The following is a 14,621-nucleotide window of genomic DNA, read 5'->3' as shown; positions in this document are numbered from 1 at the left end:
AATGAAGAGTTCTTTACTGTGTTTTCCTTGGTTAGATGCCTCTTCTGGTTTAGGAGGCTGCTGGCCATATCTTAAGTGCTCAGACAGAGAAACTGAGATATGTAGAAGTTTCATGTGAATTCCCTGGCCTTCACAACACACGCCATTCAATAGAAGGTGGCACATCTGCCCTATTCCCATTATACCCAGGCACCTGGGAAATCAACAGCAAGAAGCCCTCTTATCAGCGACATACATGGCTGCCTAAAGAACAGGAGTGGACATTAGTGAGACGACTGTCTCCTCTCCACTGCCCATGGCAGATACTGTTTGTCTGCTCAGTAGACAGCAGTTGTTTCTCCAACCTCCCTCCTTCTTTCCTGGCCAAATCTCATTTTTGTTCATATTAACAGGTGCTCAGAGAAGCTGTGTCCCTCTCTTAGACCAGAGGATGACCTATGGTTTGTCTAAATATCTAATAATTCCATGCACTTGGTTGATTGACTGATGGGTGGACTGATGACTCGGCTTTGTCTAATAAAGCATGAGAGAAATTTGAGTGATTCTTAGAATAATTTTAGTCCCTGATGAAAAAAGAGAGATGCTGGAGGTAGATTCTCCCCTGACTTGCCTTTCCTGGTTTGGGTGTCACTGTGGCAGAGAGAGGTGCTTGAAGATGAAGCCTAATGAAACTTCAAGGGCAAATACGGCCAACACCAATACAGAGATTCTTTAGTCCTCAAAGGCATTGTGAACTATTGAACCAAGCCAGAAACTATCCACCTCCAGACTCAAGGGCCTTATTCTTAAGCCAGTTTTAGTTCAGTATTGAGCTATTTTTGCAACTGAAAGCAGATGTAAGGATACAGCTCTCTCCTTCTCCACCAAAGAATTTTTTTGCATTGACAAAAGACCTGTGTATTTTTAAAAGTTCATCATATTTGAGTGTCTTACATTATTTACAGGGAGCTATAATGTATAAGGTAACTCATAAAGTTTGCCTAGGATTGTCCTAGTTATATTGCTGAGAAGTGCCATATCCCAGAAACCCCTTTCAGTCTCAGGCAAACCTGGATGGTTGAGCACCTTAAATGTATTCAAAAATCCAACATAGGAAATTTATTCTCCCCCAAATTAAGGAAGTATCCAGATAATTCAATATGTTTTTTCCACCTCAAACATCTGGGCATATCAAGTGCAAATAGCATTTGGACTGAATTTATATAATGTCTTCAGTAGGCCACTTTGCTTTCCAGATACAGAAGAATGAATATTTCAGACCATTTGTGAAAAGAAACCTAGCATAGGCTTACATTAGGATTACTACTATGAAAAGCTAGTAATATATGAAGAGTACATGTAAATATGCCAGGCCCTCTAAGTACTGTCCTTGAGTGATCTCAGCCAACTCTCAAATAATTCTAAAAATATTAATATTTAATATTAGTAATTTTGAGATTTTTTAACTTAGCACATGTAATAATGTAATGTTTTTATTCAATATCATAATTAATGTTTGTTTCCATTCTGCAGATGAAGCAACTGAGGCTTGGAGAGCTTAAGTAAACTGGGAAGTTTACTCGTATGGTAAATTTTTGAAAAACTATTCCCAATTTTGCCAGTAAACATGAGTGCACTTCGTTTGGGGTTGAGACTGTCACAGAACACATCAACACTTATGTGAACTGAGTTAGAACATCCTAAATGCTCACCACCATTTCTTAGAAGTTTCACTTCAGTTCCTTTCAACCTGCAGATTTAAGCACAAGCCCCTGGGGAAAAATGTTAAGTGTGTGCCTGGGAAGGTCCGTGCTGGCACAGGCTCCAGTTGGTACAAGTCACCCTCAGGGACCTGCCCATTCACAGAGTCCCTGTACCCAGCAAAAGGAAATTAAAGGCAAATGCCACATCTTGCATCTTTGCTGACGGGAATCGCCTGTTTTACACAAATACCTCTGCCTCTGGTCTAGTAGAAAACCACACAAAGCATTTCAAGTAGTGGAATCAGAGGTTACTGAAGTGGAAGTTATCAGCTAGACCCTGTCTTGTATTATCTGCTTGCAGGAGAGGAATGAGAATGATGTTGGCGATTTTTGATCTGATTGTATTTAGAAGATAATGTCAATGAAAATTGAGTGTTGTTACTAGTGCAAAGTAAATGTCGAGGCAGAATGGGACATTTAAGAAAGAGTGGAGAGGCCACTTTCCAGGGGGAAAAATAAACATTCAATTTTATTAACATTAGAGCTATTACACGCCACATTATTTTTGTTTTGTTTTTTGGCAAAAATAAAATAATTGAGGAAACCCAGCGACCAAATATCAGAGTCAATTTATGTAAGGGTAAAATACAGAATGGAACCGCAAGTAACCTTATTTACTTGGTTAGTTTATATCTCTCTTTTTCAATATGAAGCACTCCCACAACAGCACATCCAAAGATATTTTAACAATTGTTTCCTGAAAAGTTTGTGATTTATTTAGTACATACTGGAATCCATAAAATTTAAAATTCTTTCACAGTATAATAATTCATTTTTTTTTTGGTCTCTTATATCCTCTTCTGCCCTCAGCCTCCAGATGTTTTAAAACATATGAAATGGGATCGCAGCCACTTTTTTGGTGAGGTCTGTGACCAGGATGACACTAATGACATCTACCGACACTAATGACAATATCACTAATGGTAATACTGAGAATACTTTCATTTGTTTACTGTATGCCAAGCCTTGTGCTAAGTAATTTTATGTATATTATTGTATTCATTTTTCCCAGTAACCTTATGATAATCCTACAGTCACTGCCCTTGTCCAGGAGAAGAAACAGAGATTCAGAAGAGTAAAAGATTCTGCCCAAGGTCACACAGTTAGGACATAGGGATAAAGCCTGTATTTGGACATAGGCTGTTTGACTTCAGAGCTCAGTATCACTCTACTGTATTCCCTCCATTTGCAGAGTGTGATTATCCAACAAGATTTATGATACTTGAAATCATATTTTAAAAGGACTTCAGGGTTATTTAGCCCATGTCCTGACTAGTATAAGATCAATTCCTTGTAAAGCAGTGCCTTAAGGTTGTACAAACCAAAAATGTAATGAGAGTTCAAGAAGGCTTTAGAGAAATTCTTGGATGATAGATCTTTCCCAGTTAGGGATGCCCCCTTTGAGGACAATATCACAAAGGGCAACTATCATCATGTCACACCAATGTCCCTTGGTACTACTATAAAAGACAAAATACTGAATAGTGGGGACTATAAGTCTTAGCTCATATGACTTTTTTATGTTCTTATGATTCTTAAAATATATCTAAGTAACCTATTTCTATAATTCATCAAACTTAACCATGAGGAATAACTGAATCTTGCTGTTACTTGTCCAACTGGAGGCAAAGGTGAAGCCATTCTTATTAGAAGAAGGTGATGCTATTTCTGTAGCTTGTTTTGTCGGAGGAGAAAACAACTGGACGATGAGAAGATCTGGGCCCTCTTTTCATTTCTGCTTTCAGGGGCTGAGTGTGACTCCCAGCAAGTTGAACTCTGAGCCTCACTTTCCTCATTAACAAAATGAATAATTGACAGCTGGGCATTTCCCCTCAGGGAAAGATTGTACTGAAAAAAGTTTTGACAGTCAACTAAGACCTAGGCAAGGGGATTTTGTTTATCTAATGCTGAATTCTAGAAGGAGAAAACATCTCTTCTGAAAAATACATAATCGCAGGCCTATCCTCAGGCCAAGGGGCTTTGAAATTTACATAACCAGCATATTTCAGGAAACCCCAAGACAAGAAATCAAAGTGGTCTTGACTCAGTTGTACTTTACAGAGCCTGGCAGAGGTCAACACAAATTTCTCTACAAGGATGGAATGCACCCTCAACTCAGGCCTCACAAAATATCCACAGATCAATTCCAGATAACATAACTTCACTCTCCGCTCAAATTGCAACATGAACAAGAGACAGGTGTTCATGAGCAGTATTGAGCAGAAACAACAGAAAATAACATTAGATAGTGAAATTATGAGATTCAGCCTATAACTATATTTGAATATTTTTTAAAGAATTTTCAAATTGAGCAAGGAGCAAGACACTCTCAAGGAAAAACCAGTCTGATTATAAAATGAACTTCTAGAAGTGATATGTTCTAAATGGACATTCAAGTGAAAAAATAAAATCATGAAATAGAAAAATTTGACGCATATATGTTCACTAAATGATTAGAATTGAAAGATATAATTTATCCATAATACTGAAGACAGAGACACAGAGATTAAAATATGAGAGAATAAGAGACAAAATGGAATAGAAAATGAAAATATCTTGTGCAAATCCAATTAACATTCTAGATAGCAAAGAATGTATAGAAGATGGGACAGTAATCTGAATCCTCAGATTTAGAAACTGCAAAAAATCCTAGATACAATAAGAAATAAGAAATACAAATCTAGTCACAATGGAGTAAAGCTGCATAACATTGAAGACAATAAGAATCTTAGTACTGAGCAGAAATTTAAAACTCAGATTGCCTACAGAGAAAAAGAGTTTATTCTCAACAGATAGCAACAAAAATTAAAGACACTCTTTTCAATCTCTGAAACACTGAGGAAAAATAAATAGCAACCTAGAATTGTATAACTGGCTATTATGCAATAATGAATCATAAGTATTTTTTAGACAAACAGAAAAATGAGAGCATGTCACCAATAAATCCTAACTAAAGGAGCTCTTGGTGTAGTGGTCCTTACCCAGATTTTAATTTAGATGGTCTGAGGAGGAGCCCAGGCATTCATTCTCTCTCTTTCTCTCTCTCTCTCTCTCTCTCTCTCTCTCTCTCTCTCTCTCTCTCCCCATCCCCATTCTCTCTGTCTCTCTATCTCTAAAAATGTGTATACTGGTACTTAGTTTTTAAGCCACCTAGGAGACTACAGTGAGCAGACAGCAATGAAAGATAAGATATAATTTATCCATAATATTGAAGACAGAGACACAGAGGTTAAAATATGAGAGAATCAGAGACAAAATGGAATAGAAAATGAAAACATCTTGTGTTAAGTTCACTGTTCTAAAATGGGCTTCTCAAACTTGACTGTGTCTACTGAACTCCTGGGAATCTTGTTGATCTATGGGCTCTGACTTAGTGAGCCTCAGGTTCTGCATTTCTGATAAGCTCTCAGGTGATGCTGATGGTGGTGTTCGTCCATAGACCACACTTTGAGTAGCAAACTCCCAAAGGAACGGTTCAGAAAGGTAAAAATTTATCCCAGGGAAAAGATTGATATTCAAGAAACAATGGTGAACAAAACATTTGTTAAATGTGGGTAAATAAAAACAAATATTAATTGCATCAAATGATAATAAGTTTCATTTTCATGGGAAACAAGTAAAATGAGAGGAGATGATGAGTTAAACTCTTCCAAGGTTTCATATTATTCAGATGAAACACAGAAGTCTGATTTATGGAAGTGGATGCCTTGGTGGATGTAGATCAAGAGTTTTACAAGTGTTTGGGGTGAATTAACTAATAAAGCTTAAAGAATCCCCACGATCCAGTAACCATAAAATCTATTAAGCAAACCACGCCACTTTTGAGAGTAAAACGGGGTGTTATCAGTAATTAAAATGAACAACACACATAAACCAAGATCATGCCAGGCAAACGAGGAAGGGGTCAGCTTCTCTCAAGAGCTGTGAGATGTGGCTGAATGAGCAGATCTCTGAGTCTCTCTCCACCCCAACTCCCCATACCCAATCTAGCAAGAATCTCCTCTTTTTGTTTACCTTGTACCTCATGGTTCTGTGTGGATGCTCGTTTAAAAAATAAATACAATGGGCACCTGTTGATTTTGTCTGCCAAGCATCAGCTTCTTTTGGTGGCTGCACCTTAATTTCCTTTGCGGAAAACCACCCCACCCCACTCTATATCCTTTATCATCAGTCTCTGCCTACTCCATAGATAGAAACATCTTCCAAACCTGGCCAATCAGGCCCTTCTATTCCCATGACCACAATGATTGGTTGCAGCATAAGCATAAGACCAGGGCAGCCCAAGGAGAGTCAATCCTGAGGATAACTAAGAAGGTGAATGCTTTTTCTATTGAATTTCTAGTTGTAAGGATTATGCAAGCCTGCAGCTTCTGGGAACCAGTGAGTAGACGGCCTGTTTGAGATCCATCTAAGCCAGAGGGAGACAGACAAACATGCCTAAGCTATCAGTGACATGGTTTGCACCACTGACTCTAGGCAAGCCTGAAGCTAATTATACCCCTGCGCTCGGAGGTGAAGTGAAACAATATCTTCTAAATCACTTTTTAGTATTTATTTATTAATTCTTATTTCTGTTGTCCTTATTTACTTAAGTCAGTTTGAACTGGGTTTAGACCAGCCCATCAAAGGAATAATTAATAAGATGTATAGTTTGTGAAAACCACTTGACCAAATTAACTTGGCAATCCCTTTCAGCTCCAGGGACATCACTCAAGTGGCACCAGCTAAGTAAGAATGAGAATTAGAATTACTATTTTCCAGGTGCTAATATTCAAATCTATGGCTTGAAATTGCTGTGAACTTTTTCAATGCTTACTACTTCTTCTAAAAATAGATTTTCTTAACCCAACTCACTCACTTTACAGTTGGAAAAATGAGCCAGAGTGTGAATTCTAAATTCACGTTCCAAGATAGGAAGCTTATAAAATGTTGTATATGATCTGATTTTCAAAACATTTGAAGGGGCTGGTTTAGATAATAGAAATTCAGCTAAAGCAGGAGGCTGGAATTAATGCTTTCAAATTTATTTGCTTCTGATTCTAAAACTCATAACTATAAGCTATTTAAATGCATCATTGTTAGTATTCCAGGGACAGTCACAACAGTAAATAAGGTACATGCTCAGTGCAACGTGCCCTAATGGCATCTAAGGAAAAATATCTACCATTTTGCATTTCTTCTGAATGCTTGACTTAAAATGCTGAGTCTATGCACTGTGATACTTTTATTTTTCATATAACTTGTTATTTATACTAACAACTAAGTTTTTCATACATTTTGAAAATAGAATAAAAATATGCTCTTAAAAAGATGAGTCCCCAGCACCCACAAGCTACTGGCACAGAGAAGTTCTTCAAATACTTGCTGAATAAATGATGAATGAATAAATATGGCTGATACATATAATATGTTAAGGAACATAAAATATGTAATACAGACAGGAGAATGTACTTTCCTTTAGATACTAGTTACTACTTAGGTCAGAACTTCGGAACATGCATTTCCAGAAATACAAGTGCCAATGCAAGGTGTTAGACTTTAAAAAATGATAAGTTACTGTCAGCAAAAAGTTTGAAAAAATAAAGCTAAAGACATTTTTTTTTCTGACTTCTTAGAGCCTTTAATATGTCAGTATACATTATCAATATCCAAGAAGGGACAAAAAGGAAGCAGAGGTTTTTAGACATAATTATTCTAATTTGACCACCACATTTAATTTTGGTGTAATATCTTTTTTTTTTTTTTTTTTTTTTTTTTTTGAGACACAGCCTTGCTCTGTCGCCCAGGCTGGAGTGCAGTGGCACAATCTCGGCTCACTGCAAGCTCCACCTCCCGGGTTCACGCCATTCTCCTGCCTCAGCCTCACGAGTAGCTGGGACTACAGGCGCCTGCCACCACTCCTGGCTAATTTTTTTTTGTATTTTTAGTAGAGACGGGGTTTCACCGTGTTAGCCAGGATGGTCTCGATCTCCTGACCTCGTGATCTGCCAGCCTCGACCTCCCAAAGTGCTGAGATTACAGGCTTGAGCCACCACGCCCAGTCCAACATCTCTTATTAAGGACATTCTACAGCCCTCCCTTTAAGGAATGCTTCCAGGCTGTCACTGCCAGCATCCAGAAAAGGACCTGACTAATGCTTCCTTTGAGAAAAGCACCGTAAAGCATGGTAAAGTCAGAGAAATTTTTGCTTATGAGTTCAGATACATCATATAATTAACTGTTGTCATTTAATTGTTAATTTTTACCTTATTTCAGGTGTATTTACAGAAATGAGTGTGATGTTTTAAAAATGATTTAAATAAGTTCTAGGCACTGATATGCAACTTACTAATTTGAGAGGAAGAGGTAACATTATCTCATTCTTCTTCTGAAATTAATTATGGCAAACACATCATATGGGGAGGCAGATGTGCTTTTTGTATGAGTAGAGGAACCTTATACCCAGTCAGTAACTAGAAGGTACAATCGAACTCTACAAAAAGATTTTTTTTTCCCTGTGATCCCAGCAAAATAGCTTAGAGGAGCAGAAAACATTACCCTGGATGTAGAACTGATCTGCATAAATTCATCAAAGGACGATGCTGTGGATGCACAGATTATTTGAAAGAGGAAACATATCAAGCATTGCTTTAAAGGAATGCCTGAAATAAAACGAATAGTGTTTCAAAACTCATTGCAGTTCTACATTTCTTATGTATCAATAAAATGTGGATAAATGTATAAAGGAAAGTACTGAGTATTTCATTTGCTTCCTTGTATTCAACCACATTTTCAGTTATTCCTTATTGATTTATGATTTTATGAAAGCCCAGGGATATGTTTTCCTGCATATTTCTAGTTGACAATTGAAAGTGTATTTCATGTTTTGTAAAGGACATGTGGAATGCTTCCTTGCAAAGCTTCACTCTCCTTTAAAACAATACTTATAATAGGAGTTCAATACAACAACAAATAAGCATCATTTGTTTTCCTCTTTATCTTATCTTTGTTCCACAGGAATTTAAATGCAAATGTGAAATAGAATGAACACCAACAAATGCATCAACTGCTCCCGCAATATAATCATTGCAATCTATAAACCATAACAGGCTCTCTTGTGCTGGCTGCTTACTGTCACAGTATTTTGTGGTTGGAAATACATTCTGTGGGTGTTATTTTGCAACCAAATTTGAATAGGAACACTCCGAGGAATCATCCCAGTGTTTATTTGAAAAGAGTGTAATGTTTGCCTGTGCATGTATAGAATGGCTTTATTCTTTATTTAACTTATTTTCACAAAACAATTAAGGGAAATGTATATTTAGCATCAATAATTAAAACCAGGGAACTCAAAGGGAGGATTGATCTGCACAGCCTTATCTAGCAGAGCTTTCTCTCCTTGCTATTATTCTTGCTACATGATCTTTCTTACAGTCTCCTGGAACAATCCATTCTGAATTTGAATACAGGCCATTCCAAACATTAGTCCTTCTACCCTGAGAAATTACCCCATGTGCTATCCTAGGTCAATCAGTTACAATTTTTAATACCTTAGAAAGGGACCTAAGTGGATAGACTGGCTTCTAGACCAGTGGTTCTCAACTTTCTCAATTTTGGCATTGCTGTGGTCTGAATATCCTCCAAAAGTCATGGGTTGAAACTTATTCTTCACTGTGATAGCATTAAGAGGTGGGGGCCTTTAGGAGGTGATTAAGTCATAAGGGCAGAACTGCCATGAATGGGATTAAGATCTTGATAAAAGAGGCTTCACCACTTTGGGAGGCCGAGGTGGGAAGATCACCTGAGATCATAAGTTCGAAACCAGCCTGACCAACATTATGAAACCCCATCTCTACTAAAAATACAAAATTAGCTGGGCACGGTGGCACATGCCTGTAACGCCAGCTACTTGGGAGGCCGAGGCAGGAGAATAGCTTAAACCCTGGAGGTGGAGGTTGCAGTGACCCAAGATTGTGCATTACACTCCAGCCTGGGCGACAAGAGTGAAACTCGGTCTTAAAAAAAAAAAAAAAAGGCTTCGCACAGCATTTGGCCTTTCTGCCATCTGCCATGTGAGGACACAGCAAGAAGGTCCTCATCAGACCTCAAATGCTGTTGCTTTGATATTGAACATCCCAGCCTCCAGAAGTGAAATAAATTTCTGTTCTTTATAAATTACTCAGTCTCAGGAATTCTGTCATAACAGCACTAACAGACTAAGACAAGCATGCAATAACACTTTCTATGGCAACTTATTAAGCACAGACTTTCAGACTTCAAACCCAGAAAGTTAGGTTCAGTGCATCTGGAAGAGGACACAAACATCTGCATTTTTAATGTGCATTGCAGCTAATATAGATGCATGTGGCTCCATGCTCTGCTAGATCAGGGACTGGCAAACTGTGGCTAATGGGCCACATTTGGCCTACTATCTATTTTTTCTAAGATTTGTTGAAACACAGCAACCTCTATTTAAGATTATCTATGTCTACTTTCACCCAAAGTATAGCCTATGTTTACTCAGCCCAGTGAGAGAGTTTAGTAGTTGTAAGAAGTTATAAGAGAGACTATACAGTTAGCAAAGGCTAAAATATTTATTATTCTTTACAGAAAACGTTGGCCCACCTCTGCTCTAAATGACATTGTATTAAGCTTTATGCTTCAATAGCCACTGTGAAGGACAGTATGGAGATTACTAAAAAAACTACAAATAAAACTACCATATGATCCAGCAATCCCACTACTGGGCATTTATCCAAAGGAAAGGAAACTAGTGTATGGAAGAGACATTTGAACCCCGAATGCTTATTGCAGCACTGTTTGCAATAGCCAAGATAGGGAATCAACATAGGTGTCCACCAACAGATGAATGGATAAAGAAAATGTGGTGCATACACACAATAGAGTAGTATTCAGCCTCAAAAAAAGAATGAAATCCTGCCATTCATGGCAACATGGGTGGAACTGAAGGATATTATCTTGAGTGAAATAAGCCAGGAACAGAAAGTTAAACGTCGCATTCCATGTTCTCACTCATGTGAAAGATAAAAAACAAAAGCAAACAAAAACATGATCTCATAGAGATTAAAAGTAGAAGAGAGAATACCAGAGGCTGGGAAACATAGGGGAAGAAGGGGATAGGCAGAATTTGTTAAAGGACACAAAATAACAGCTATATAGGAAGAAATACGTTCAAGTGTTTTGTACCACTGGTAGGACTACAGTAAACAATAATATAGTATATAGCTTCAAATAGCTAGAAGGAAGATTTTGAATGTTTCCAATGCAAAAAAAAAAAAAAGATAAATCTTTGAGAAGATAGATACGTGAATTGCTCTGATTTGATCACTATACATTACATGTGTCAAAATATCACTATGTACCCTATAAATATGTATAACATTATGTGTTCATTAAAAATAAAGCTTTTAAAAGGCAAGAAAAGCCTTTTGATATTAAAGGAAAGGGCTGTTGATATATAATGTAACCAAGTTAACTGGGATTTCTTTAATTTGGAACCTGTAACAGAGTAAATATAAAATATGTTTTCCTTCACACAACTTGTTTTAAAAACGCATATATTTAATAAGTACAATAAAATGAAAATAAGATAAAATTCAAAAAAAAAGTTTTATGCTTCAGACTTAATGTACCAAAATACTATGATGTTATAATAAGTAAGTCATCTTCCCATGATGTTTACTTTCCTACCCTGGCCTAGTAGCCCTTACTTGACACGGTTCCTGGGTCCCTCATAAACTTCATTCTTTCCTTCTTCCACCATGCCTTTGCTCACTGTCCCAGGCATACTGGCCTTCTTTCTGGTCCTCAAACATGCCACGATTGTTCACACCTCAGGGACCTGCAAACAGGCCATGCGTGCTCATGCTTTCATCTTTTTAAAGATTCAATGAGTATTTATGTAACATTCACATGTGCTCAGGAGACATGCTAAGTCAGTGGCATCCACTGGTTCTTCTATGGTTCTTCTCTACCATTATGGCCCATCCCTTACCTCTGCTGCCCTTCCAATGAAGAAAGAGCATTGAATATGGAGTGTGCAAATTCTGGGATTTTTGTACCTTGTTAGAGTGTTAAAAGATGGCATTTATTTAAAGAGTCTCAAAGTTGCAGCACTTTATGGCCTGAGTATTCCCACTAGCAAGTAATTCTGGCTTCCACTGGTTCTGTGTCTTTCAGGATTAGCTGTATAATATACAAGGCCCGGCGCAATATGAAACTGCAGGTCTTTTGTTAACAAATTATTAACAGCTTCAAGAGAGTCAAGAGAGGACAGAAGGATGTTAACCTAAGTGTTCTGAGCACAGACAACTGCACAGGTCACAGATTCAAAAGGTGGCCCTGGCAGGCGGAAAAGAGCTAGTTTAGGATAGTATTTTGTGTTTAAAACTTGTGTCTTAGACATTCTCCATATCTACTGTCAAAAACGTTTCAACAAAACTCACAGTAAGATCAGTCCAATTTGTTTGCTGATAGATGACACCATCATATACTTTGATTAGCCAAATAGTTGAATTAACATACAGAAAGACCAAATATTATTTCCTACCAAATTCACCTACACATCTATGAATATTTTTGAAGCTTCATGCTTCCCAAATTTGAACAAATGTGATGTGACTGATACAGCAAAGTGTCATGATAAAATGATTTTGTGCATGTTCAACACAAGTTGGCAATTGGCCCAGAATATGTGTAAGTAGCACAGTTGAAGCCTTTCAGATTCTAACTGAACTAAAGTAATGGACATCTGTTGTTTGTATACAGTGTTGGTAGGACTTTCAATCAAGGTGGCCTGCTTTTCCTTGGTCAAGAGGTGGCCATATGATTATAACCAGGAATGAACCTATTGTCCTAGGATTTGGTCTTGACTAGAGTAATGCAATGACAAAAATTTAGTGGAATCATATATGGAAAAATTGTTGGTGTAGATTCATTTTATTTATGCCTTATTACTTCAACATATATTCCTGCTACCTAGTTCACTGGAGCTGTCTTGCTTCCTGTCTGTTCTAGTGTTTTTCTTTTGAACCTGTTCATTGATTTGATTCTGATATTTCTTTGTAAAACCTTTTCTCTATTTGAAGTCAGTTTCTGTTGCTTACAACCAGTGAACCAACACTAGCGCAAACAAGATGTGGCTATCGATCGTCTGTAATCTTAAATAACTAACACAATTGCTTATATAATGAAGACATAATGTTTATAACCTATTGCACTTATCGTGTAGGCTTCATTGCTTCAACTGTTTCTATAATTTATTTATTTAATACTTTTACTAATAATAGGTGCCAGCTTGGAAGCAACTTTACCACTGAGAATTCTATTGCAAAAGTAGCACATCTGTGCTGACAGGATAGCTCACTAGATTGACCTAGATAATGAGTTGTATAATTCAGGCTCCACAACAGACACTGAGCTATGAAAATATAAGTAAATGAGTGAAAATGAAATTCACTACCCCATATTCCATGTTATTTCTGGATGCATTGCTTAGCAGAGCTATTAGTTTGTCTTCTTGCTGGGAAATGGGATTTAGAGGTTTTTAGAGTAATACCATCACAAACCCTCCCTGCAATCACTGCATAATGCTAGATGACTCCAAAATGAAGTAAATGTAAAAAAAAAAAAAAGTGAATGAGATATGTCAGATGAGTATAATAGCAAAGAAAATGCAATTCTGGATCATCTCCATCCCCATGCAAAATGTGAAATTCTTTCGAGTTCGCCTAACACGTATTGAGTAGTTACTCCACTACCAGGATCAGAAATAGATAAAGCAAGTGAGGTGCCCAGGGAGCAAATGATAAGGAGGCACTCGCTCTCCAGACTGCTAAGTGCAGACTTGGCACCTGGAAGTGAGTGCTTCTTCATCGTGGACCCCTGTGCACCTCACTTGTCTCACTTTTGTTCAGGCCCTATTTACTGGGCCAATGAAGAGCTTTAAAGAGAAATTTTTGTCCATTCAAATCTGGTAGGAGGCAAGTTTACCAATAACTCTAAAATGAGGTTGAACAGCATACATGCCATAACTGAGAGACACAAAATGGTAGAGAAAAACCGCATTGAACTGGCAGTACCCATAAAGGTAGTAAAAAAAAAAAGTTAGTAAAAGTACTACTATTTGAAATTGGATGGCTGTATTTGTTTTCTCTCTCAGAAAACATGACTCAGACTGATGTAAGAAAAAAACAATATTGACTTATGTAACTAAAAATTCCAGAGGCATAGTGTGACTTGATTTGGAGGAGAGACAGTGTCAAGAATTGATTTCTTTTTTCTCTATCTCCTTTTAGATTGGCTCCATTCTCCAACAGACAAAGTGGATGTGGCAACCCCAGACCTTCCAACCTTTCAGCTGCAAGTTCAACAGGAATAAAGACTTCTTCCCAGTGGTTTCTTCAAAAGCCCTCAGATTAGCTGTTTGCCTAGCTTGTCACATGCCACCCCAGAACCAATCCCTATGGCCAGAGAAATGTAGCGTATTGATTGGTTTAGCCCTAGGTCACATGACCCACCTCTGGAAAAGGGCTCAATCCTCACTCAAACTGCTTTGGCTGAAGGCTTGGAAGAGATGGAGCCAAGGAAAGTAGACACTGGGGATGCAAAAATAAAAGTTCAATAAGTATGCCTTTAAATACGGACCAGATACTGAATATTAAAAACCAGCACATTCTGAAAAGAAGAAATATAAGCAAAAGAAAAAAAAAGTGGGAAATATGAGATAGTATTTAGAATTAGTAAGCTATCCAACTAAGGTCAAGTTCAAGAATATTTTAAGAGTTACTTAAATATATAGAGATAGCTAGGCATGGTAACTTGTGCCTGTAATTCCAGCTGCTCTGGAAGCCAAGGTGGGAGGATTGTCTTAAGCCCGGG

The 14,621-nt window shown here is 37.6% G+C and overlaps 1 protein-coding gene and 1 long non-coding RNA gene across 14 annotated transcripts in view; one reads left to right on the top strand and one right to left on the bottom strand.

The window, feature by feature from the left end:
- Positions 1-14,621, bottom strand: part of TENM2 (teneurin transmembrane protein 2) — a 1,285,129-nt gene that overhangs the window by 596,192 nt on the left and 674,316 nt on the right. The gene's annotated exons all lie outside the window — the stretch shown is intronic.
- Positions 7,825-14,424, top strand: TENM2-AS4 (TENM2 antisense RNA 4). The gene is made up of 2 exons (XR_007059037.1): positions 7,825-7,908; positions 14,039-14,424. It is a non-coding gene; the product is annotated as a TENM2 antisense RNA 4 (long non-coding RNA).

Source organism: Homo sapiens, chromosome 5 (genome assembly GCF_000001405.40).
Source record: "Homo sapiens chromosome 5, GRCh38.p14 Primary Assembly".
Taxonomy (NCBI): Eukaryota; Metazoa; Chordata; class Mammalia; order Primates; family Hominidae; genus Homo; species Homo sapiens.
This window is presented reverse-complemented; position numbering and strand designations above follow the sequence as displayed.